At 43.0% G+C, this 25,127-nt stretch overlaps 1 protein-coding gene and 2 long non-coding RNA genes across 15 annotated transcripts in view, besides 1 other annotated feature; 1 reads left to right on the top strand and 2 right to left on the bottom strand.

Annotated features, from left to right (window-relative positions):
- The window catches only part of ADRA1A (adrenoceptor alpha 1A), a 119,230-nt gene extending 94,516 nt beyond the window's left edge, over positions 1 to 24,714 (bottom strand). For 6 of the 13 annotated variants that reach the window (NM_001322503.1, NM_033303.4, NM_001322502.1 and 3 more), the window contains exon 1: positions 21,422 to 22,990. In NM_001322503.1, coding sequence (NP_001309432.1) covers positions 21,422 to 22,304 — 883 coding nt within the window. In that variant the 5' untranslated portion in view covers positions 22,305 to 22,990. Of the gene's footprint in view, positions 1 to 16,366; positions 16,541 to 21,421; positions 22,991 to 24,270 lie in introns of those variants that run through there. The other 7 variants (XM_006716293.5, NM_000680.4, XM_017013096.2 and 4 more) reach the window with 4 other exon arrangements.
- Positions 10,902 to 12,910, bottom strand: LOC124901918 (uncharacterized). Its single transcript, XR_007060867.1, has 2 exons — positions 11,840 to 12,910; positions 10,902 to 11,723 (listed from the first exon to the last, which is right to left on the bottom strand). It is a non-coding gene; the product is annotated as an uncharacterized LOC124901918 (long non-coding RNA).
- Positions 12,229 to 16,117, top strand: LOC124901917 (uncharacterized). The gene is made up of 3 exons (XR_007060866.1): positions 12,229 to 12,317; positions 15,689 to 15,770; positions 16,028 to 16,117. It is a non-coding gene; the product is annotated as an uncharacterized LOC124901917 (long non-coding RNA).
- Positions 22,883 to 23,834: an enhancer, noted in NCBI's record as "H3K27ac-H3K4me1 hESC enhancer chr8:26723065-26724016 (GRCh37/hg19 assembly coordinates)". NCBI's record gives its function as "activates a minimal SCP1, AML or CMV promoter by ChIP-STARR-seq in naive and primed H9 embryonic stem cells {active_cell/tissue: H9 hESC(naive and primed)}" and the evidence as "EXISTENCE:reporter gene assay evidence [ECO:0000049][PMID:30033119]".

The raw sequence follows: 25,127 nt of genomic DNA on the forward strand, positions 1-25,127 counted from the left end.
TGCTTCCCTGCCTCAAACCCCCAGTGGCTCCCCACTTCCTCTGATTTCATGGCCAAAACCTTTGTCTGGTTTTCAAAAAGACACCCAGAATAATATCATCCCTGGTCTGGGTCAATAATATTGTCCCACCAAGTCTGGATAATAATATTGTCCCACCAAGTCTGGTTTTCCATGACTCTCTCTCTCCCTCTCTCTCTTTCTACACACACACACACACACACACACACACACACACACACACACCACTCAAGGATTATCTCACAAGCTCATGAATGTGCTGTGTTCACTCCTGTCTTGGAGCTTCTATTGGCTTTTCAAATCCGCTATTGGCTTTTCAAATTCTACCTTTCAAGACCCAGTTAAAGACTCCTTCCCTCTATGGAAACTTCCCTAATTAAGACCTGCCTGGCATATCTCCCCTCTGGATTCCTAGACCATTTATAATGAGTGTTATCTTGTCCTGATGACTATTGTTTCAAGTGTGCTATCCTTTTCCCCAGATTAGACTTGAAGAAAGTGGCTCTTCTTCTTCCTGACCTCCAGAAGACTTAGCTCAGAACCGAGCCCGCAGCAGATGCTCAGTGCTTTGTGAACATGTCTTGATTCATCAGCAAGTGCAGGATAAGAACTGGATGTGACAACATCTGAGAGCTCAGTGAACATTAGACTCGCCTTGTTAATAATTTACTCCCTTTGTCCCCTAGTTTCCTGCTCATCCCTCTATTTCTCCTGGCTCTTTTCAGCTTCAATTCCTCTCATTTGTCCACTTCTTCCCTTTGTCCAGTAAACCACATGGGCTGATCAGGGTTGGAGTAGAGAGTGTAGGATTGTCTATTTTCTCTTGGAACTGATGGCCATGGTGAACACCTTGCTTGCCATATGATCAACATGGCTCTATGAGGCAGTTAAAACTATGTAGACAAAATTTTTTTTGTCAGATAAAATGAGGATAAAAATACCTCCTCATCAACATATAGAGGAACTATGGAATTAAATGAATAATGAGTAATGGGCTAAGAATATAGGATTGGATGTACCAGAATCACAGTGCAACTGCCTCATGGAAAAGCTGGGCATTTTCATCTTAAGGGATGATCCAGAAGGGCAAAGTTTAAAACAAAGGAACTGATTCAAGTGCAATATTTTACATTGTGTAAATATCTGAAGGAATTCACAAACGGACCACAATGGCTGCAGAGACACAGTGGTAAAGTGCTTAATAAATTGGCGAACACGTGTTGTGCCATAAATGTTAGTGCATGAAGCAAGTTATGATTATTTGTTTCCCTTTGTGTTTTTCTAATCAAAGATTTAAAAATCATGGGAGTTTTGAGCATCATGAGATAACAAGTATTGTGATACAGGTCCACCATTCCTTTTCCAAAAACTTTGGTATTAGATGTGTTTTGGAAATCAGGATTTTTCAGATTTTATAAAGGTCATCTGGATCATATGTTGTATATTGTATACTACTACCAGTGGGATATGGGTCAGCACCCTACAATCAAACACAGAAATATTTCTGCAACACAACGTGTAAAATATAAAATCTACAAATGGACTCACCTGAGTTCAGATTGAGTTCACTGCCAAATGAGTTCTGATAAGGTCAGATTTTGGCCCCAAATTATTAATCGAGAACTTGCAATTTTCAGAGCTTTTGAACTTAGGAATACAGACATTGTGTACCTGTCCTATTCTACATCATTTTCTTTAAAAAGAGGTAGTCTTTTTGAAAGTTTCTATTAAACTTTTAGAGATGTAAAAAATAGTGGGTAGTAATTACAGAACTTACTACAAAGCTACAGTAATCAAAACAGTGTGGTACTGTCATAAGGATAAAGGACATATGAAATGTGGAATACAATTCCATTTGATGGAATAGAATTTAGACTCCAGAAATGAACTCATTTATCTATGATCAGTTGAATTTCGACAAGGGTGCCAAGACCACTCAGTGGGAGAAAGAATAATTTCTTCAATAGATGATGCTTGGACAATTGGATTTCTACAAGCAAAAGAATGAAATTGGAAGCTTACCTCCTATCATGTATAAAAATTAACTCAAAATGGATCAAGGACCTAAGTGTAACTATAACTCTTAGGAGAAACTATAACTCTTAGGAGAAAACATAAGGATACATTTTTGCAACTTTGTCAGGGGTGTTCAATCTTTTGGCTTCCCTGGACCACAGTGGAAGAAGAAGAGTTGTCTTGGGACACATATAAAATACACTAAAACTAACAATAGCTGATGAGCTTTAAAAAATTGGAAAAAATCATAATGTTTTAAGAAAGTTTATGAATTTTTATTGGGCTGCATTCAAAGCCGTCCTGGCCATGGGTTGGACAAGCTTGAATTAGACAATGACTCCTTAGATATATGACACCAAGAACACATGCAACAAAAGAAAAAGTAGATAAATTGGATGTCATAAAAATTAAAGACAGCTGTCCACCAAAGGATACTATCAAGAATGTGAAAGGGCAACCCACGAATGAAAATATTTGCAGATCAATTATCTGACCAGGGTCTGGCATCCAGAATATATTAATAACCCCTGCAACTCAACAATAAAAAGACAAATAACCCAATTAAAAAATGGGCAAAGGATGTGAATAGATATAACTCCAAAGAAGTTACATGAATAGCCAAACATGCATATGAAAAGACACTCAGCATTATTAGTCATTAGGGAAATGCAAAGCAACATCACTAGAGATACTATTTCACACCCACTAGGATGGACATCATTTTAAAAAATGACAAGTAATGGTGAGGATGTAGAGAAACTAGAGCCCTCAAACATTGCTGGTGGGTATGTAAACTGGGGCGTTTGCTGTGAAAAACAATTTGGCAGTTCCTTAATTAGCTAAACGTAGAAGTTCCATATGGCCGAGCAATTCAACTCCTAGGGGTATACCTAAAAGAACTGAAAACTGGTACTCAAACAAAAACTTGTACATGGATGTTCATAGCAATGCTATTCATAGTGGTCACAAGGCAGAAATAACTTAAATGACCCTCAATGGAGCAACAGATAAATAAAATATGGTACATTCATACAAATAAATAGTATTCAGTCATACAAAAGGAATGAAGTCCTGAAACATACCATAACATGGATGAAGCTTGATAACATTATGCAAAATGAAGAGGTATACACAAAAGGTCACATATATGATCCCATTCATATGCAGTATCAGGAATCAGCACATCCATACAGATTGATGGCTGCCAGGCACTTGGGGAGTGGGGAATGCCGAGTGATTGCTAATGGGACCCAGATTTCATTCTGGGGTCATGAAGTGCTTTGGAACTAGATAGTGGTGATAGTTGGATAACATTGCGAATGTATTAAATGCTACAGAATTTTACAATTTAAGATGGTTAAAATTGTGAATTTTACGTTATGTGAATTTAATTACAATTAAAACAAAGTGAGTAGACAAATATTGCCTCTTTGGGGACCTCAAGGCATCTGGAGACCTCAGGGTTTGTTTGGTTCATGTGTTTTGTTTTGTTTTGAATCACTAGCTAAGATGTTGGCAACACAGTAAACAAAAGCTGAACAATAATAATAATTGATGTCTGCTTTAAATGTGCTGTTTCTGATGTATTTTTGTAAATTTCAGGAATTCCTGTAGCATAAACCAGAGTTTGTTAATCTTGGCACTATTGCCATTTTGGGCTGGTTAATTCTCTGTTGTGGGGGCTGTCCTGTGGTTGTGGAACATTCGGCAGCACCCCTGGTCTAACCCACACAATGCCAGCAGCATCTCCCACCCCAATTGTGACACTATGACAGAAAGAGATCTTGGGCCAGGCGCAGTGGCTCATGCCTGTAATCCTAGCACTTTGGGAGGCCGAGGTGGGTGGATCACTTGAGGTCAGGAGTTCGAGACCAGCCTGGCCAACATGGAGAAACCCTGTCTCTACTAAAAACATACAAAAACTTAGCCAGGCGTGGTGGCAGGCACCTGTAATCCCACCCACTTAAGAGGCTGAGGCAGGGCAATCACTTGAACCCAGGAGGCAGAGGTTGCAGTGAGCCGCGATCGCGCCATTGCACTCCAGCCTGGGTAACAGTGAGACATCGTCTCAAAAAACGAAACAAAAATTATTCACAATAGCAAAGACTTGGAACCAACCCAAATGTCCAACAATGATAGACTGGATTAAGAAAATATGGCACATATACACCATGGAATACTATGCAGTCATAAAAAATGATGAGTTCATGTCCTTTGTAGGGACATGGATGAAATTGGAAATCATCATTCTCAGGAAACTATCGCAAGAACAAAAAACCAAACACTGCATATTCTCACTCATAGCTGGGAATTGAACACTGAGAACACATGGACACAGGAAGGGGAACATCACACTCTGGGGACTGTCGTGGGGTGGGGGGAACAGGGAGGGATAGCATTGGGAGATATACCTAATGCTAGATGACGAGTTAGTGGGTACAGCGCACCAGCATGGCACATGTATACATATGTAACTAACCTGCACATTGTGCACATGTACCCTAAAACTTAAAGTATAATAATAATAAATAAAAAAAAGAAACAAAACAAAAGAAAAACACTAACAAAAACAAAAACAAACAAAAAGAAAAACGTCTCCAGACCTTGCCAAGTGCCTCCTGGAGGTCAACATCACCCCCGATTGAGAACTACTAATGTGACCTCTTTAGGAAAAGTTTATTATCCTGGGATTTTTTCCTCTCCTAAAGTTTCTTTTTAAAAACCCATTTCTGAGATTGTTCTTTAGTAATTTCCAAATGACAGCAAACTCATGAAACAAAACAACATGAAAATTCCAGGTAAATGTCCAAAACCTTTTTCATTAAGAGGAACTAAACTACGCAGTCCACTTGTAGACAGTAGGTTTCTCACTGGCAACGAATGCCCTGGCAATAAGCTAAATGTGGATAGCACATAAAAAAAGTGAATGTGCAATGTTCCCTTTTCAAACCCTTTTTGGGCAAAGACGACTGCTCTGCCAGCATTCCAGTATAATGACAGCTCATGTGCCCTTTGTCAACCTTGCCTCCTTCTCCTTTGAAAATACAAACCACACTTCTTCCCAAACTTCTTCTGATACCATTTAATGAGTCTGGGATCAGACACTGTTAGCACAGAGAGCAACCTGTGCTCCAGATCCCCCTCAGCAGCCGCTGCCAGCAGGAAGGGAGGGCTGAGTGTTCAGGACGCAGGGTTCCCTGGCTGCTTCACCAGCGCAGTGCTGCCTTTATCCATTTTATGTCTTGGATTTCTGAGTGGGATTTATTTTGCACAAAGAGTTCTGAAGCTGAGAAGTTTGAAAGCCACTGGCTCAACCCAAGCCCCTCTCCTACAGATGAGGACACCAGAGTGCAGAGCAAAGGGCAGGACCACGTGTGATTCCAGGGCTTTTAACTGTAGACAGGCCCCTTTCCTCTGTTACAGGGAAGGCAGCCAGGCAGCTCCTGCAAGATGTCACTAATCCCTTGCGTGCCTCAGTTTCCTTATCTCTACATGAGCATAGCAACCTCCATCTTCCTGGCTACTTCTGGGATTTAAATTAGACACAGTAAGTGCCATGCAAGTACCACTAATATGGATGGAAAGTTTGTGTCCTCCCCAAATCCACATGTTGAAACCCTAACCACCAGTGTGATGGTGTTAGGAGGTGGGGCCTTTGGGAGGTGATTAGGACTAGATGATGTCACGAGGGTGAACCCTCATAATGAGATTCATGCCCTTATACAAAGAGGAAGGTACCAGAGAGCTCTCTCTCTCTCTCTCTTCATCAGGTGAGAATGCAGGGAGAAGGCAACCATCTGTGACCTAGCAGGAGAACCCTCACCAAGAGCCTGACAATGCTAGAACCCTGATCTCAGACTTCCAGCCTCCAGAGCTCTGAGAAATCAATGTCAGCTGCCTAAGCTGCCCAGTCTATACCTGCCCAGGTATTCCATTATGGCAGCCTGAGCTGACAAGTCTACCGCTTGACATCACACACATCCTCAGGTGTGTGAATGGTTTCACTTCTTCTTTCCTAGGAAAAGAGTCATTAAACTCTACACGTTTCACACAATCCTCTTGTGATCACAGCCACAAGGGAAAGCTCAGCTTACTGAACTGTGTAGGGATTCTGTTACTGTCTCACTGCACAGTTGTCTTCCTCTAACTGTTGAGAATCAAAGGCTATAGGAGGATGGGTCTGCTTTGTCTTGAACCACAAACTTCTGAAGGACTGAAGGAGAGAATCGCACTGCGGGTGACCCACTTCTGCTTCACACTCTGATATCCCCATGAAAAGGAGCCTGCACACAGGCAGTGAATTCCAGACGGAGCTGAACTCTCAGGTCCTCTTTCTAAATTCTCAATCTATCTAAAAGAATACACATACAGGTGAAATTTTACCTCCCTGCTAAAAACCTTAGGGAAAGCCAAAGTTCATAAGCCAGAATCTCTGAGAAGTTTCTTGAAACTATAGTTTGGTTAGGACCAGCCTGAATAAAAAACTGATGAATCCTCGGTTCACATCAACAAAAGACGGGAAAGACGGAATGGCTCCAGTAGCTTCTCAGGAATAGCCCCAGGGGCTTGAGAGAGCAGAAACTGCGACACACACAGGATCAGGGCCAGCTTGTCAAAGGTAAATCTCAATGCTTACATCCAGGCAGGATGGGAAGGACCCTGAACTTTCCCAGGCAAGGTCAGCAGACAAAGGAGGTTCTCTACAACAGGTGCCCAGGCGGTCAGTCATGCCACCCGGAGGAGAGGGCACTACACACCCTGCACCAAACAGACAAGAGAAACAGCCTTTGCTGTGCAAAATCAAAACATGTTACTTCCATCTCTTGAAGGATAAAGAGTTCTGTACTCTGGCAGATTCGAATCACAACAAAGACAATCCATTTCCTTCTCCCCTTAATCTGGATCTGAAAGATTTGAAGAGGAACCTACCCAGTTTCAAACAAAGCCCATTTCAAATTTTAATACCAGGTCACCCTCTATGAGGTTGAAGAAAAAGAGAAAAAGTACTGTTCCTATGAAAAGCTTCAGCTATTCAATAGAGGAGATTGATCCCAGGAATCAGAGCAAGTGTACACCTTTAAAATGGTGATGCGGAGGATGATCTCTAAATTGTATTCAAACAAGACTTAAGCAGCTATTAGGCTCACAAAACAAGTGTAGGGGGTGACGAAGATGGACAGTGTGCCCACCATATGGAGTGGGATGGAGGGAATATGGAGATTGTGTATTACAAAAACCAAATAAGTAAAGTGGAACATGAACTTGAGAAATTCAAATGGAAATTTAAAAAAAAATAGTAAAAAAGTGACTAATGAGAGAGAAATGCAAAAACAAAAAACAAAAAACAAAAAAAAAACAGGGCAGGTATAGGAATTGAAATTCCAAGAGGAAGATCAGAGCAGAGGACATCATCATTAAAGGAGGCTGCCTTTGGCTTTAGAGCAAAAGGTGCACTGGATCTCAAGCAATAGCAATGAAAAGTTACCCCAAACAGAAGTCCCCAGTATATATACTTTTTAATTTAATAGAGAAAAAAATTTTATAAACATCTTAGTTGAAAAATAAATACACAAAGAGAGTACTTGACAAAAAAACAATAATCAAGGGGACCTCACGTCATTTATGAAGCATTAAATGCCAAGAAACAAAGAAGCAACAAGAGTATTTTGAAATGCAAAACAAACAAACAAAAAAGAAAAACAAAACCCTCACTTGAATTCTATGTCACATAAGTTGTCTTTCATGTGTTAAGGTTTAGGCCTGGAAGGGCTGAGAAAATGTGTTTTGCTTATATCTTTTTTGTTGTTGTTGTCAGAGACAAAGTGTTGCTCTGTTGCCCAGGATGCAGTGCAGTGTGGAAATCTCAGTTCACTGCAACATCTGCCTCCTGAGTTCAAGTGATTCTTGTGCCTCAGGCTCCTGAATAGCTAGAATTACAGGTGTGTGCCACCACGCCTAATTTTTGTACTTTTAATAGAGACGGGGTTTCACCTTGTTGGCTAGGCTTGTCTCAAACTCCTGGCCTCAAGTGATCCGCCCACCTCGGCCTCCCAAATTGCTGGGATTACAGGTGTGAGTCACTGCACATGGCCCTTGCTTATATCTTTATAGGTAAAATTTTGTTTGGTGCTATAGTCTTCTCTAATATAATAATAAATATTTTAAACTTTGTGGGCCATACAGTCTCTGTAGCATCTACCCAAGTCCACCACTGTCGCATGGAAGCACCACAGACAATATGTCAATTACAGGGCATGGCCAACCTAGCTGGTAGAACTTTACTCACAAAAGCAGGCCATGATTTGCCGACCTCTGTTCCATCTGGGAGATTAAGAAAAATCCAGAGCACAGGAGTGAGTAAGTCATAATATATAATAGGAGGACAATTGGTAAACTAAATTATAGAGAGATACAAAAGACAGGAGAGGCAATACAAAATTTAATGAAAATAATCTAGTTTTAAAATGCACTATTTTATTAACTAAAAGATAGAGGTTTTAAAGAGAAGGGAAAAGAAGAGTGTGCTAAACTTCTCACCTTCCATGGGCAAAGGTGGGTGGTGGAGTAACAGAGAGAACTGAAGGTTTAAACATGCTTTTGAAAAACTAGAAAGTTATGTCTAGTAAAATTAAAAACAGGAGACAAGCTTTCCAAACCACCACAGAATTAAAAAGCAAAGAAAAAAGTTACCCGTTTTACGAAAGACTGAAAATAGTGAAAACGAAGGAAGCATAGAGCCAGAAAGCATATGATAAGTTGACAAAAATCACACCAAATAATCTGTCACAATAAATGAAAATTAGTTAAATCCTTATTAAGGACAAATACCCATATTAGAAACATGGATTATGAGAAATCCATTTGATGTGAAGTACACAAGCTGCTATATAAAATGGTGAACAAATGTGAATAAAAATAGATTAGAGATTGAAATATTATTTTTTTAAATGTGCATATCCAGGAAAAATAATTAAATAGAACAAAAAGTCTATCTTTAAATGAAGATATTATTGATTTGATCTTTTATGCATGAAGCAAAAACATAAACATATATAAAGCAAAACTTGTTAAAAATGTAAGAAATAGTGGGAAGAAACCTGGTAGCAAAGGGAAACTTTATCATACTTCTCTCAATATTTGGCAAGTAAAGTATATAATAGATAATGGTAAGATAAATAAAGATTAATGGATAAAGAAGATCTGGAAAACACCACTATTAATGTTTAGTTAATATATACACTAAAGATTAAATCTATTGTGTATTAATTATTGATTACATATTAAGTCATTAAGAAAATCTCAATAAGTCCCATAAGCTAAAAATTATTGAGCTCACACTCTCTGACCACAATGCATTAAATTAGAAATTACATTTGAGAAAGTGGGAGATAAAATTACCAATGATTTTCAAATGAACAAACAACAACAACAACAACACAATGAATCCTTTCCTGTCTACACAGGACAAGGGAAATATTAAAAGCAGGAAGGCAGACTGATTGGATGACAGCACTGCCTACCCAAACATAAGGGAAGAAACTAAACTTTGCGTAGAAGCAAATGTACAGCTTGGATTGTTTTTAATCTTAGACAAGAAAGAATTAAAATAGATGAACTAAACATTCTGGGTAAGCTAATATTGAAAAGCAAAATATAACCAGAAAATAAAAGAGAGAAATCTCTAGAGATTACATTAATGTACTGGGAAAGAGATTAAAATGACTAATAAATTCAGGACTTGGATTCTTTGAAAAAAACTAATAAAATATACAGGCTTTCAGAAAGTCTGAGCAAAGACAAAAAGAAAGAAGAAAGATAGCAAAGAAATAAAAAGTTACAGAATTTCATGTAGAAGTCTATGCTAAAAACTTGAACCTCAATGAGAAGGCAAATGGAAAATACGAAAATAAAGATTATCAAATCTGACGATCAGAACAGACCACTATCCATGGAAGAAATAGAAACCAGTCTCAAAGAATTGCATCCATAAAAGGAGCTGGGCCCGAATGTTTTATAGGCAAGTTTTTCAAACCTTCAAGGAACACATAATTCTTACGGTATTTAAGCTGTTACAGTTTATAGAAAAAAAATGAAAAGTGTCACAATTCGCTTTATGAAATTAACATAAACGTGCTACCAAAATGTAACAAAGACAGTGCATTAACGTAAAACAATAGACTCATTTCACACAGAAACACAGATGCAAATGAGAAGTGAAATATTTCCTGTGATACAGCAACATGAATAACGGTGATGTCACCTGATTGAGTAGAATTTAATCCAAGAATACATGGAAAGGTTAATAATATGAAATAAAATTTTATCAAATCAATGTCAATGAAAAAAGATTATATTGATGGATATCAATAAAGCAAATGTTTAATTTAACAAAATTAAAAATTCATTTTTATTGAATAATATTAAAAATGCAAACAAATTAAAATACATTTTAAATCTAGATCTGTATAGTTTTGTAAACTCTAGAAAGATATTTCTTTGATATGATGGAGTATATCAATCTAAAACCAATGGACAGTGTCATATCTGTCAAAATATCAAAGCAGCATTTCCCAACATCATTGTTTAATCAATTTTCCAGGAGATGTTAGCAGATGTGCTTAAAACTAAAGTCTAAACAACAGTTCAAAAGTAGTTTGGGAAGTAAATGGAGTGACAAAATGAATCCAGAGTTTTCTTGGCAGAATGAATGTACAATAGACAAAATAATTTTGAAAAAGAATATTCATCCAGGCCTTAACCTAGAGAATATTAAAATGTATTATGCAACCACAGCCATTAAAGTAATGTGACAGCAATACTAGAGCAGAGAGACAGATAAATGGAAAAGAAGCGAGTGTATTCCAAAATAGATCCAAAATTCTTTTTAATATAACAAATGTGGTTTTCCAAATAAGAAAGGAAATGATGGATTATTTGATAAGCCTTTTGAGACTATCTGGCTAACCATTTCAAAATAAATACTGTGAGGCATAATCTACCAAAATACAAACATGAATTCCAGGTAGATTACAAATGATGCTCTAAAAGAATGAGGAGGAAACAGACTTACATTGTGGAAGGTCTCTCTGAGCATCCCTGAGAAGGCACATTCAATGAAAAAACATGAAAATATTTGACTATATAAATATTTTAAATGTCTAAACATTTGCAAAAACCATAAAACAACAAAATGCAAATAACCAAGTGGAAAAGATAGTTTTAAATATGTATAAGGATTATAATATTTTAAAATATTCCTCATCTTTATTCTTTTCTTAGTAAACCTCTCTCTCTCTCTGCCTCTCTCTCTCTCTCTGCCTCTCTCTCTCTCTGCTGTCCACTTGGCTTTGCTATTCCATAGAAGGTGGATGCCACTCTGGAAAGGAGGAGGAGTGTCCCCTTTAGCCAGAACAAGGAAGAGGAAAGACTTCCCTGTCTTCCCTGAGGGACTGTGAGAAAGGTGGGGAAGAAGGTAGTGGAAAGAGGCAGTTGGCATTTGTTCTGAGCCCTCTCTCTCAACAAGAGTGGTAGGAATGCCTGAAGATTGGCTGGGCACGGTGGTGCATGTCTGTAGTTCCAACTACTCAGGAGGCTGAGAAGAGAGGATCACTTGAACCCAGGGTTCTAGGCTGCAGTGAGCCATGATTGTGCCACTTCACTCCAGCCTGGGTGACACAGCAAGACCATGTCTGGAACAAAAAAATGCCTGAAGTTAAAGCGGGGCGGGGGGGGGGAGCAGGCAGAGGTGCTTTCTCCCATTCTCCATTCTGGGTGTAGTCAGTCCTTTCCATGAGAGCCACCATACCTGTTAATGTGGCAGCCAGTGTGGTGGGGTAGAGAGTGTGGTGTGGAAGGAACCCACCAGGCTCTCTGTGCCCTGAGACTGGGATGGAAACATTGTTGAGAATTTGGTGCAGGAGGTTGTCAAAGTTGTTCACAGGGCTGCAGGGACAAAGTGACTCCCTGGCCAACAGCAACAGAGCCAGTGTCACTGGAGCCAGGAAACAATGGAGTCATAGTCAAACCCTCTCTGACTACTATGACATTTGTAAGCCCCTAGGCGTGGTCAGTATCTTAGAGGGCAGATCTGAAAGGCCCTGTGCTGTGGTCTGAATGTTTGTGCCCCACCCCCGAAATTCCTATGTTGGAATCCTGGCCCCCAGTGTGATGATATTAGGAGATGGGGCCTTTGGGAGGTGATGCAGAAAGAGGCCCCAGGGAGCTGCCTCACTCCTTCCACCAAGTGAGCACACAGCTAGAAGGTACCATCCATAAAGATGAAGGTAGGTCTTCTTCAGACACTAAATCTGTTGGTACATTGAGCTCAGACTTCCAGCCTCGAGGATTGTGAGAAATAAATTCCTGTTTACAAGCCACCCAGTCTATGGCATTTTATTATAGCAGCCTGAATGGACTAGGACACCAAGGCATCCAAGAGACTGAATATGCAAAGATGATGCATAAATTATTGGATTTGAATGAGTTTATTAAATTTAACTAAAAGTGTGTGTGCATGCATGTGTGTGTGTGTGTGCATGTGAGTGCATGCATATGTGTATTTCCATGGAAGTTTGTAGAAAAGATCACATCCGTTTTTGGAAAATAAGCTACATCTTCTTGGCACATTTGCATATAGTGTGAGAAGACTGGCAACCCAGGATTTGTGATAAATAAGTAATTATTTATCTTCAATGTATAAAATGAGCTTACCGATAAAAAAAAAAAGACAGAAAAACTGCTGTATAAAAAGTGGCCAAAAAGCACAGATAGGAAATTTCACAAGAGGAGAAATATAAGTGATGGATAAAAATATAAAAAGAAATGTTCAAATAAGAACACATGACACGGGGAGGGGAACATCACACACTGGAGCCTGTTGGGGGTTGGGGGGCAAGAGGAGGGAGAGCATTAGGACAAATACCTAATGCATGCCAGGCTTAAAACCTAGATAATGGGTTGATAGGTAAAGCAAACCACAATGGCACATGTACACCTATGTAACAAACCTGCATATTCTGCACTTGTATCCCAGAACTTAAAGAAAAAAATAAGAAAAGAAAAGAAACATTCAAATAGCGAAGAAATAGAAAACATAAAAATGAAAAGCCACTAGGCAAGTGTCAAACTGGCAAACCAAATAGCAGGGCTAAAATACAGTAAACTTGTTAGACAAAGAAAATGCCTTAGAAAACTGTCCTCATATCCACCATGAAACCATGAGGTGACAGAACACAGCAATGACTTTGTTACTAAGTGACTAAGGATTATTACTCCATCCAAGTAATAACTCACTTGTCTATAGCCTGACTTGAAAGAGTCAGCTATTGTTCAAAGCATTGTTAGAGCTCATTGTTGATGTCTTCTGAGCCTGCAGCACGTTCTTTTGAAAATGATGGTAAATCTTCATTGACAGATTTGTCTTGTGGAAAGAGCCAAAATTAATTTAAAGCCAAGTCTGGTTATACTATTTCTGATCACGAGAAAGCTTTTCTCATAAATCTAAGCTCTGAAGGCAGTGACAAAAGAGGCATTCCAGAACGATGTGGCAGCTCACGGAAATAAGTTTTTTAAATGGCACGGTAGAAGGATTGCACTTGGCAGGATACAGCTCCCCTTGTCCTGCATAAAGGTCTCCCAACTGGTCTATCCACAATCTTGTTTTCACTAAGCCTTTGATAATCTTGAAATGCTGTATAAACTCTATCATGTCATTCCTGCTCATCTTTGGATAAAAACACAAACTTGTATAATGGCTATAAAGCCTTGTTTAGTCTGGTTCTTCCCTTTCCAGCTTCACTGGACACCAGTTATCTCTTGGCCTCTTGTTTCTGGCCACAGTGGCCTTCTAGAAAGTCATTATGGACATTAAGCCAGCCCCACTAAAGTCTTCGCACGTTCTCTTCCCTCCCTCCCCATTTTTGCCTTTAAACACCTACTCATTCAATAGATCTGGACTTAATAGTCAAGCCCTCCTTCCCAGAAAGACCTTTCTACCCTCCCAGTCCAGGACCACCCTTAGCCACAGGACATATTTTCAAGGCACCATTTATGTTCCCTTCATTGCTCTGTACACGGTTTTCGATAACTTAGTGTGGCTATCTGATTAATGTCTATCTCCTTCTGGAGATTAGAAGCCTGCAGGGAGGCAAAGATCCCAGTTGGTTTTACTCAGTGCATTGCATGAAGCCTGGCATATGGGAAGTTCTCAATATAACTGATGGATTAAAGAGAAATGTAATTTGGCACACTTGTGAGGTCGGTGATCTGCAAGAGGACTACAATGATCTGCCCCTCTGTGTACACACTTGCTGCTCTCCCATCAAGAGATGAGTCTGTCTCGCTTCCCCTTGAACCTAGGCTGGTCTCCTGACTTGCTGTGACTGCAGAATGAAACAGCAGTGATGCTGGACCAGGTGTGAGCCTAGCTCTTCAAAGGCCTCACAGTTTCTGCCTTGACTTTCTTGGGGGAGAGCTGCCATGCTATAAGAAGGTGGTTTAGAAGGGAACAGAGGCCACCAAGACTCACAGCCAGCTTCAATTGCCAGGCAAGCTGGGTGCTGACGTACTTTTGACCATAGAATCATGAGACATAGATGGCTGCTGCTTTAAGCCACTACCTTTTGGGATGGTCTGTGGTGTAGTAAGAGTAACTGAAACGCTGGCTTCTTATCTTAAAATAAATTCTAGCCAGGTGTGGTGACTCATGCCTCTAATCTCAATGTTTTGGGAGGCTAAAGAAAAAGGATTGCTTGAGGTCAGGAGCTCAAGACCAGCCTGGACAACACAGCAAGATCCCATTTCTATAAAAATAAAATATAAAAATTAGCCAGGCATGGTGGTGCATGCCTGTAGTCCCAGCTACTCAGAAGGCTGAGGTGGGAGAATCACTTGAGTTCGAGGCCGCAGTGAGCTATGATTACCACTGAACTCCAGTCTGGGTGAAAGAATGAGATCCTGTCATTAAATAAATAAATAAAATAAAATAAATCCTAATGGCACTAGTTTTTCTTCACACCATTATCTCTAAGAGGTGAACCTTTTCCATGAGAACTAGGGAACTGCTCCCTTTGTACCTGCAGTGAAGCAACCCTCAACCCCTGGTTATCTTGGGCATCCGCAGAGGGTTTGGGATTATCATATATCATTGTATGTACTTGTCCTTTTTCCTTGTCATTTTTCATATACCTTTGCTAGGTATCTAATTGTTCAGATGTTCTGCTCCATTAGGGCAGGGATTTATTTGTCTTTATCTCCAGTGATTCTATAGCTTCCTGGCAAACAGTATATGTTCAATGAAACTGCTGAATGAATGAATGAATCATTCTCTGCCTCATTGCCTCCACCTGATAAATCCACTGCCAGCTGTGCCCTCCTCAAACATCCAATCTTAAAACACATTTTTCTGCTCTATCAATGTGCTGCCTCCTGTTCTTTTATAAACATAATCCTCAAATATTCTATGTCTATGTAAGCCACATCTCAGCCCAATGCTGCCTCCTTTGATTCAGTGGCAACAGCAATCAATGGCTTAGGTCCTATAATAACGCTGGGTTTTGTGTTTAAATCAGATAACATATCCAGAATTCAGACACGTAACTATGTTTTCAGTGATTGTTGCCTTTTCATCTTCTTTCCAATGCTTTCTATTTCTTAGAATGCCAAGGACATCCACCCCTCATGGCAACATCTGCATGTTGACATACATCAGTAATGGTCTGTGAATCATTTGAATTCTGGTAAGATGAACATTTATTACCATTTACTCTGAGTTAGGCACTATGCTGGGCAGCTGACCTATATAACATCCCCTGTTATATGAAAAAGAAAGCCTAGGTTTAAATCTCAGGCCAACAGTTTCTCCATTCAGCAGCACACTGCCTCTGGAACTAGTGGGCTCTAGACAATGAGATGAAATCAACAAAGATGATTCATAGGCTTTAGATGCTGGAGCTTCCTGAGAAGCAGAGTTCTTATCCTTCCTTCTCTTTCGTAGGTTGAAGGCTGACACCGTCATAGTCTCTCTACTCATCTCCATGGCCAAAATTTGCTTTTGAAAGCATTTGCTCCAAAGTATAAATGACTGTTAACAACTGCACATGGCACCCCCCTCCCTTGAAGGCATTCTGAATTTCAACCAAACATTTAGGATGCAAAAATGGAACAAGATTAGCAAGATTTAGACTTGGAAGCAGGCAAGTCAGATTCCTCCCAACAGTCATGCTATTCAATGCAGCAAGCAACCCAGCCTTAGTGGAAAGAAGCTTGGGAAAAGGGAACGTGAGACTTCTCACAATATACAGGAAGGACCTTTGCAGTCAAATAGCCTACTCACCTGATTTTCCTGGGTCAGTCCCTATTAAACATGGGTGTTTCACTTCTCAGCTGTGGATAGCACACTCATCCCTGCCCTGGTTTCAGTTTTTAATCTCTTTCCTCTCCCGCAGCCTAGTGCAGACCGACAGCCCTTTTCTCCAAAACAGCACGTCATATTTAAGAATGTATGTCCCTTGAATATAATAATATGATAGTATATTTATTCTTCTGCTCACATTTTGCATGAAAAACATACTTAAGACAGTTAATAAAAAAACATATAACATCTCGTTGACGACCCAGCAGAAGTAGTGCCATCTTCTTTAAGTCTCTGCTCTGTCAATGGTCATGCATGTAGAAGCTTCTCAGTGACCTCTCGGCACAATGAACTGCTATATTCCTTAGCACACTGTAATAATATCATTCTGAGCACCATCCTGAGCACCATGTAATAATATCACTCTGAGCACCTATGTCATAGACTTGCAATAATTGTTGACAATTTGTCTCCTTAACTAGACTGTGAGGCCCTTGAGGGCACTGTGTTTTATTCATCTTTTTTATTCTGTGTAGCTGAGAGCCTGGTGCTTATTACATAGCCAGTACATTCTTGGAGGAAATCATCTCTTACTCAATTGGTGTCAGGAAGAAATTGAGAGCCACAGACTGGCAGGTTCAGGGATCCTTTGCACTACTGAGCAGCTACTCAGACCCTGTGAACTGTATGTTCCCTACTTCCCTCCTGTCATATCATTTTTCTTTTTTTTTTTTTTTTAGACAGAATCTCGCTCTGTCACCCAGGCTGGAGTGCAGTGGTGTGACTCAGCTCACTGCAACCTCTGTCTCCCGGGTTCAAGCGATTCTCCAGCCTCAGCCTACCAGGTAGCTGGTATTACAGGCGTGCACCACCATGCCCAGCTAATTTTTGTGTTTTTAGTAAAGACAGGGTTTCACCATGTTGGCCAGGCTGGTCTCGAACTCCTGACCTCAAGTGATCCGCCTGCTCAGCCTCCCAAAGTGCTGGGATTAGAGGCATGAGCCACCGCGCCTGGCACCTCACTAGGATTTAAAAGAAGCCCAGTGATTCCGAGGGCTCCTGTCTACCACCACTTCTCTCCACCACAACATCTTCTCCTCCACACTGCTGACTCCCTGGGAGAGCAAATCCAAGAGCGGGCTATGACTAGTCAGAGCATCCACCTCCCCTAGATGACTCCAGGACCCAGGCCATTGTTTCTCATCTCTATGCATAGCTCAGCCACCACTGCAAGCTCCAAACTCTCAGGCCACCCATCGTCACCTGGGCTCCTTCTACAACCTGGCTGTGGATGCTCCCTAACCTGACCGAGTCTGTGTCTCTTCACACACACACTCTCTGGGACTCACAGTAGGTCCTCAGCATTGCCTCCTGTATCCCTCAGCTGCTTAGCTCTTAGAGAAAAACACACAACCCTCCTTCCCGCTGTACTTTAATGTTATGACCGTAAATCTCAGATAGGCCTTCAGGACTTCCCAGTGACTCTACCAAACTTCCATAAAATGTTTACTGTCCCACTCTCAAAGATGAATCTTTCACACCTTCTCTGAGGCTAAAACTGCCATCGTTCCCCATTCCTGACTCTCTCTTAGCTGATGACCTTGCTTCATATTTCACTGAGGACATAAACATATCCTAAAGAGATCACTATCTCTCTCCCTCTGTCTCTACTTGCCTCAGGGCTCACACACTTTGCTCTCCTTGTCACTTCCCAATGCTCCCCTTGGGCACTGAATCCCGTTGCCTCTTTTGCCTATCCCATCAGTGCCTCTCTCTATCCCATCGTTCCCATCAGAATATAAATATCATGTCATATCCCCACCTCCCACCATTGAAAGCTCTCTCTATACCCCTCCAGCTACACCGCATCTCCTAGCTCCAGTGTATAGCAAAACCTTTCAGAAGAGTTGTCTATTTTCCCTGTTCCCACTTTTTTTATCCTTTGTTCTTTCTAGAAAGTACACAATCAGGCTTTTGGTTCCATCACTCCTCTGGACCTGTGAGCCTCACGTGCCTTCCTCCTATCACTAAAAACCTGCTTACTGCCAAATCTAGTGTTGGCTCCCAGTCCTCCTCTAACCTGACCTCTCAGCTGCATGTGACACAGCTGATTACTCCTGCCTTCTTGAAACATTTTCACTAGGCTTCCAGGACATCACATTCTCCTGATTTTTCTTCTCCCTGGCTACTCCTTTGCAATCTTGTTTGCTGGCTGTTTCTCCTGTTTTTCCTGACCTGACCCCCAGAGGCTCTGTTTTTTTTTTTTTTTTTTTTAGATGGAGCCTCGCTCTGCACCCAGGCTGGAGTGCAGGCATGATCTCGGCTCACTGCAACCTCTGCCTCCCGGGTTCAAGCGATTCTCCTGCCTCAGCCTCCCAAATAGCTGGGACTAAAGGTGCAGAGGCTCTGTTCTTATCTCTCTTTACTCTCTTTATCTTTTCTCTTGTCAACCTCTCCATTCTTGTAGCTTTAAAGATGTTGATATATCCCAAGTTTATATCTGTAGCCCGCCTCCTCTCTAAGCTCCAAATCTATGTAAAGTGTATAACTCCCTACTTGCCATCTCTACTTCCATGTCTAATGAATGTTTCTCAACACAGTGATACAAAAGAAAGGCTCATACTTCTCACTCCCTGCAGCCCCTTGCAGCCACATAACTCTTTGGTTTTGCCAGTTTTAGTGAAGTGCATTACTATTTACTCAGCTATTCAGGCCCTAAACCTACCTATTTCTCACACCCTTGTCCACACTCATCAACTTTACCTGTAAAATAAGTGCTGAATGTGATCACGTCTTACCACCTCTACCTGTCTCACCTGAGTCCAAGATGTCATGACCTCTCTCCCCTCGACTTCTAATAGCCTTTTAACTAGTCTCTGCTTCTGCTCTTGCCCCCAAACAGCCAATTTTCCCCCCAACAACCAGAATGATCCTTCAAAAATATAAATGAGACTGGCCACTCACCTGCTAAACACCCTTGAATGACTTCCCACCACAATTAGAATAATATGCAAACTTTACTTTGGCCTGAAAGACCCCATATGACTTTGGTGTTGTCTATCTCTCCAATCTCTTCTTGAACTTGACTGCCCCCTCCCTGTCTGTAGTTGAGCCATACTGGCCTCTGTGATCTTCATTGAACAGGTCAGGCTCTTTCCCATCTCTGTACTCGCTGCTCCCTCTGCCCAGGAAGCTCTTCTTCCCAGATCTTGCAAGCTTTGCTCTTCAGTCCAGTCAGGACTCTGCTCAAATATCACCTCTTTAGACAGAATTTTCCCCACTACCCACTAAAGCAGGCCCTCATTGTCTTTGTCACTTTCTAGCCTCTCATCCTGTTGATTTTTTGATAGTGCATGTTAATCTTGACATTTTAGGATACAATCATTTGCTTATGTCTACCCTTTCCAAATACAACCGTCTCATTGGCAAGGACTTTTCTGCCCTGTTCATCCAAAGTGCCTAGAACAGATGGTCCATAAATACTTGTTGAGCGAGCACACGCATGAATACGTGTGCAAAGGGGCTCAGGTAAAGAGTGTAATTTCTATAATTTCAAAGCTGTGATGTACTTCCAGGAGCAGAGTAAGTAATAATGATGGGCAGGCACAATGGAAGGCCAGGTATTGGATTAAGGAGGGCCTCTCTGGCAGCCCTACAGGACAGACATTTCTGCAATGATAGAAATGACCTATATCTCTGCTGTCTAAAACAGTAGTCACTGGCCACGTGTGACTATGGAGCACTTGAGATGTGGTCAGTGGGACTGAGGAATTGAGGAACTGAAAGAATTTTATTTAATTTCAATTAACATTTAAATAGCTATCCTTGGCTGGTGGCTATGGTATTAGAACCTGAAGAATCCCTTCCCATGGCTTGTGATTGCAGGATAATTGTGTATAACTCACTGAGTTGTCGAGGGGACTAATGAAATAAAAAGCTTAGGAAAATGTCTGGAACATAAGTGGCACAAAAAAATAATAGTTGCTATTATTCCACAGAGTTGCAAATTAAAGTACTTTAAGTATATGCCATTTAAATTAGGCTGTAAAGCACTTGAAATGGACTTTTATTAATGTTAGGCATAATGTTTTGTTTTTTAGAGTTGGTGGATAATCGATGTTTGGGTCTGTATTTGAGCTTACAAACTAAAAATAGCACACAACCATTTTGGGATCTCATTGAAGGAGATAGATGTCTATTCCAAGTGGATCAGCTTGCTGATACTTATAATGAGCTAATTAATTTTGACAACAGCTAATTTAGCATCTGCAAAAATTGGATTTGTAACATTATGTGTACTGTATTATTTTCAAACAGTGTTATCTGCAACTTCCCGGATGATTTTGGATAAGAGAAGTGTTTGTTTTAATACTTATTATTAAAATAAAAAAATAAGTATTTACTTATTGGAAATACTATGATTAATTATTTAAGGCTTAAATTGGTTTGGACATAAAATCATTTTTTTTTCTTAGTGGCTGACCATAATTCCTTCCATACTGAATCCAGAAAATAAAATTAGCACAGATATAGAACATAAACAGACCATTATAACAAACCCTTATGAATAACCTAATGCAATAATAAAATCACACATTTGTCCAGAATAAGCATGGTACTTATTTTCAGGCCAAGAGAATTTGCATTCTGTAGCAGAGTGAAAATGGCATTCCACAGTCAGCCTAAGCACTTGGTGGAGACTCTGAGACTAGAGAGAGCAGATGCATTTAAATTGAACACGTGCTTATAGGCATTAAGAAAAGTTGACATTCTTATTAAAGAGACCAATTAATCTGCATCAGTTGGAAGCCACTTTACAGTCGAAAAAGTGCTCTAGGACCTAATATAAATGAGACTGGAGTAGAAAGAGAATGAAAATTCACTTTTCTACAAGGGAGCCTTTTCTAATTGCCCTAGAGCTGTGCTGTTTGAAATGCTAATCCTTCCTCTTCCATCCCGGACTGGGAGTCTGGGGTAACAGAAGCCGAGGAGGGTGAAGACCCCCAGATGCTAAAGTGAGGGGTGTTCAAGACTTACCAATGGGCATGACTAAGAAAAAAGGCAGCCAGCAGAGGACGAAGCAGCCGACCACGATGCCCAGCGTTTTGGCCGCTTTCTTCTCCCGGGAGAACTTGAGGAGCCTCACTGAGAAGTGCGTCTTGGTCTTGGCGCTGGCCATCCCGCTGCCTCCTGCCGGGGCGTTTTTCCGATGGATGCGGAGCGTCACTTGCTCCGAGTCCGACTTGTCGGTCTTGAGGCCAGACTTGAGGCCCCGGCTCTCCCTCTTGGCCACCACGTAGACGCGGCAGTACATGACCAGGATGATGGCCAGAGGCAGGTAGAAGGAGCCCAGCGCTGAGAAGAGCACGTAGCCCGGCTCCTCGTTGATCTGGCAGATGGTCTCGTCCTCGGGGGCCGGCTGCCTCCAGCCGAACAGGGGTCCAATGGATATGACCAGGGAGAGTGCCCAGACGCAGAGCAGAGCCATGAGACCCCTCCTCTGGGTGACGATGGTTGGGTAGCGCAGCGGGTAGCTCACGCCGATGTAGCGGTCGATGGAGATGATGCAGAGGCCCATGATGGACGCGGTGCAGCACAGCACATCCACTGCCGCCCAGATGTTGCAGAAGACCCTGCCGAAGGCCCAGTAGCCTAGGACCTCGAAGATGGCGGAGAAGGGCAGCACCGTGGAGGTGAGCAGGAGGTCGGCCACCGCCAGGTTGACGATGTAGTAGTGCGTGACTGAGTGCAGGTGTCGGTGACAGGCTACGGAGAGGATCACTAGGATGTTACCCAGCACCCCGAAAAGAATGAGGCCCCCCAAGATCACCCCGAGCAGAATGGCCTTGGAAATGTTCACCGGTGCCGGCGGTTGGGTGCAGTTGGAGCTGTCGGAAGCATTTCCCGAGAGAAACACCATGGTCCCAGCCGGGGCCGGGCGAGGTCCGGCTGTCCAGGGCCACCTCCCGGGCTGGCGCGGAGGCGGGAGCGCGGGAGCCGGGAATCAAAAGGTCTCGGCTGGAGGGAGCCCTGCCAGGTGGGTTTGGCTGGGGGTGAGAGCGCGCGCGCGGGTGGGAAACAACCCTGGCCAGCCCTGGGAACCCTCAGAAGGCCACATGAAGGGGCAGGGCATTAAAGACATGGCCAGGGGCGCGCGGGGCTGCCGGGGACCCTCTCCACCTGCCGGGCTGGCCTAGCCCGGGACCCGGACTCCCTCCCTACCCGAAGCTGGGTGCGAAGATCCAGGAGACTCCTTGCAACATGCAATTCCAGAATTACGAGAATCTGCTTTTCCGCGCTGTCTTATTCGTCCTGGCTGGGGGAAGATTCAGCATTCTGCACATGATTCGGAATTCAAAACTCCAGCGCCAGTCTCTCCCTCAAACCAAAAGATCAGCCGTCGACGCTCAAAGGCAGGGACCGATGGTTGGGTAGCGCAGCGCTACAGGTTGGGCGCTGCTCCTGGCCCGCAGTTACCTACATTTTGAGCTGCCCCACCGAAGGCTCCTGCTCTCTCCAGCTTCTAGGAGCACAGGTCAGGGGACGTAGGTGTGGAATATGTGCTGAGACCCAGGAGGCTGCGGGGCATCGTTTGACCGCGTCCACCTGAAAGAGCGCAAAGAGAAAGGCGGCTTTGAGCTAGGCGCCCCAGGGAAAGAGGCTGTGCTGAGCTTGACGGGTTGGGGGACACCAGTTGGGAGCCGGGTTGGTTCTGCGGTCCAGAAGCTGCTTCGCCCGGCAGCGGTGGAGGCGACTTCGGAGCTCATCTCGCGCCCCCACCACTGGGAACCTGCCTAGCGCACTCTACTGAGTCACCTCTGCCCGAGTTCAGGATCCGAAGCGAAAAACAAACAAAAAAACAAATCCCCAAAACCCCAGGCTCCAGCGCTCGAAGTCTGGATTTCGAGCGCAGGTACCACGAAATTAAAATCCTCGAAGCCCCGGAGGGGCGACTGCGGCTGGCGAGTGTGTCGCACGGATCCTAGCCGGGGAATTCTGGAGGATGTACTCGGTTTCCGTTAGAACAGGTTGCCTCGCAGTCACCTGGAGGGGGCGGCCTGGGAGAGGGAACAGCTGCGACCCAGGGACCTCAGGGCCAGGACCACGAGCACGCTCACTCTCACGCCGGTGGAATTCGCACTCGGGTGTGCAGAGCGCACCGGTCTGTCCACCAGCCAAGCTGGCTTGAGAGCCAGGTCCCGAGCGAAGCCGGGAGGGACCCGAAGACAGAAAGCGACCCAGGTCTGTCCACGACGCCTTTCCAAGCCTCACTGTTGGCCACCCGAGGGGCTCCAGCTGCCAGCCGTAGCGGGACTGGCGGGGGACGGGGTGGGGAGGACGTCCCTCTGCAGAGGGAGCTTTGCAAGTGACAGTCACTGCGGATTTTGCAGGCGTAAACATTAAGCCGGCATGCCAGCGGGCAGGGGCCGCCTTCGATTTTCTGGGCTGGGGGCCACCATCTGCGTAAGAAACCTGGGTTTCCACAACTGCGAACCTACCGCAGGGACTCGGCAGGACAGCGCGGCGTGAGGAAGTGCCCACCTTGCCTTCTGGGGTTGGGCCCTGAGGTGGGACCTCGGGCAAAGACTCTTGTTAAAATCGCAAGTTGGAGACCTCACAGGTGGTATTAAAAACGTGCCACTGCAGAAACCCTTTTCCTCCTACCTCGAGGGTGATAAACACAGGGTTAAAAAGACACTTGTTCAGTAGAAGGCAACTTCGCAGAAGATGTAAGGGAATCGGGGGTGGGGTAGAGGGGCCGGTATAAAACCTGGTGGAAAAAGCGGGAGGCGCTGGGAAAAGTGGGGGTTCCGTCTCACCAGACGGCGGGGGAGGTCTGCCCTCACCCACTCGGCCCTGCGGGACGCCGGCCCCGGCGCACTCACCTGAAGCGCCGCTGCTGAGCCACCAGCTCGCGCGCGGGGGATGTGGACCCGGCTTCGGTCCCGGGAGCTGCCTGCCTGCTCTTCTCTGGAGGCGGAGAGGGGACCGTGTCTCCGAGGCACCAAATCCTTGTCCTTTTGCACCCGCTGACTCACCCCTCCACCACTGATGTCTTTAAGCTCCTGAACCGCTGTCACTTTACCTGCATTTTTTAAAAAGAGTCAAAATAAGAAAAGAAAAAAAAATGCAGATAACCGGTAACTCCACAATCACCCTTTTAATATTCAGCTCCCCGACACCAGAAAAGAATAGCAAGGAACTTTGCAGCTCTCGCTGACGTAACTCAGGCAGTAGCCCAGCTAGTACCGTAATCTCCTGCTGCTACCGTATTACTCTACGGCAACAGGCACAAGTGCGTATACAGCTGTAATGTTTTCCTCTGGCCTAGAGGGGGTTGGGTTCTAGCGTTTCTTTAAAAAGGTTTGTGTGTGTGTGTGTGTGTGTGTGCGCGCGCGCGCGCGCGTGTGTGTGTGTAGAGTCATTTGTAGTAAATAACTTCTTTAAATGAGCTTTTAAAAATAACGAAAAATTGACACCCTTGCTAGATATTGCTGTGTGTATGGTGTGTTCATAGGAATGTGCTATAAAGTAACTTTGAACAGCTTGATTTGATTAACATTTGGCCTAGGTTTTGTTAAGATCAAGAAGTATATTAAGAATATTGTAATTCTAAATATGCAAGTAAATTATAAGGTGTTTTAAATAGCAAGTAAAATCAGATAAAATATGACAAATCTGATTGTAATGAAATTATATTTTCAGGAAGATAAAGTGGACATATCTAAACCTTATTTAATAT

The sequence above is a fragment of the Homo sapiens genome, chromosome 8 (genome assembly GCF_000001405.40).
Source record: "Homo sapiens chromosome 8, GRCh38.p14 Primary Assembly".
Taxonomy (NCBI): domain Eukaryota; kingdom Metazoa; phylum Chordata; class Mammalia; order Primates; family Hominidae; genus Homo; species Homo sapiens.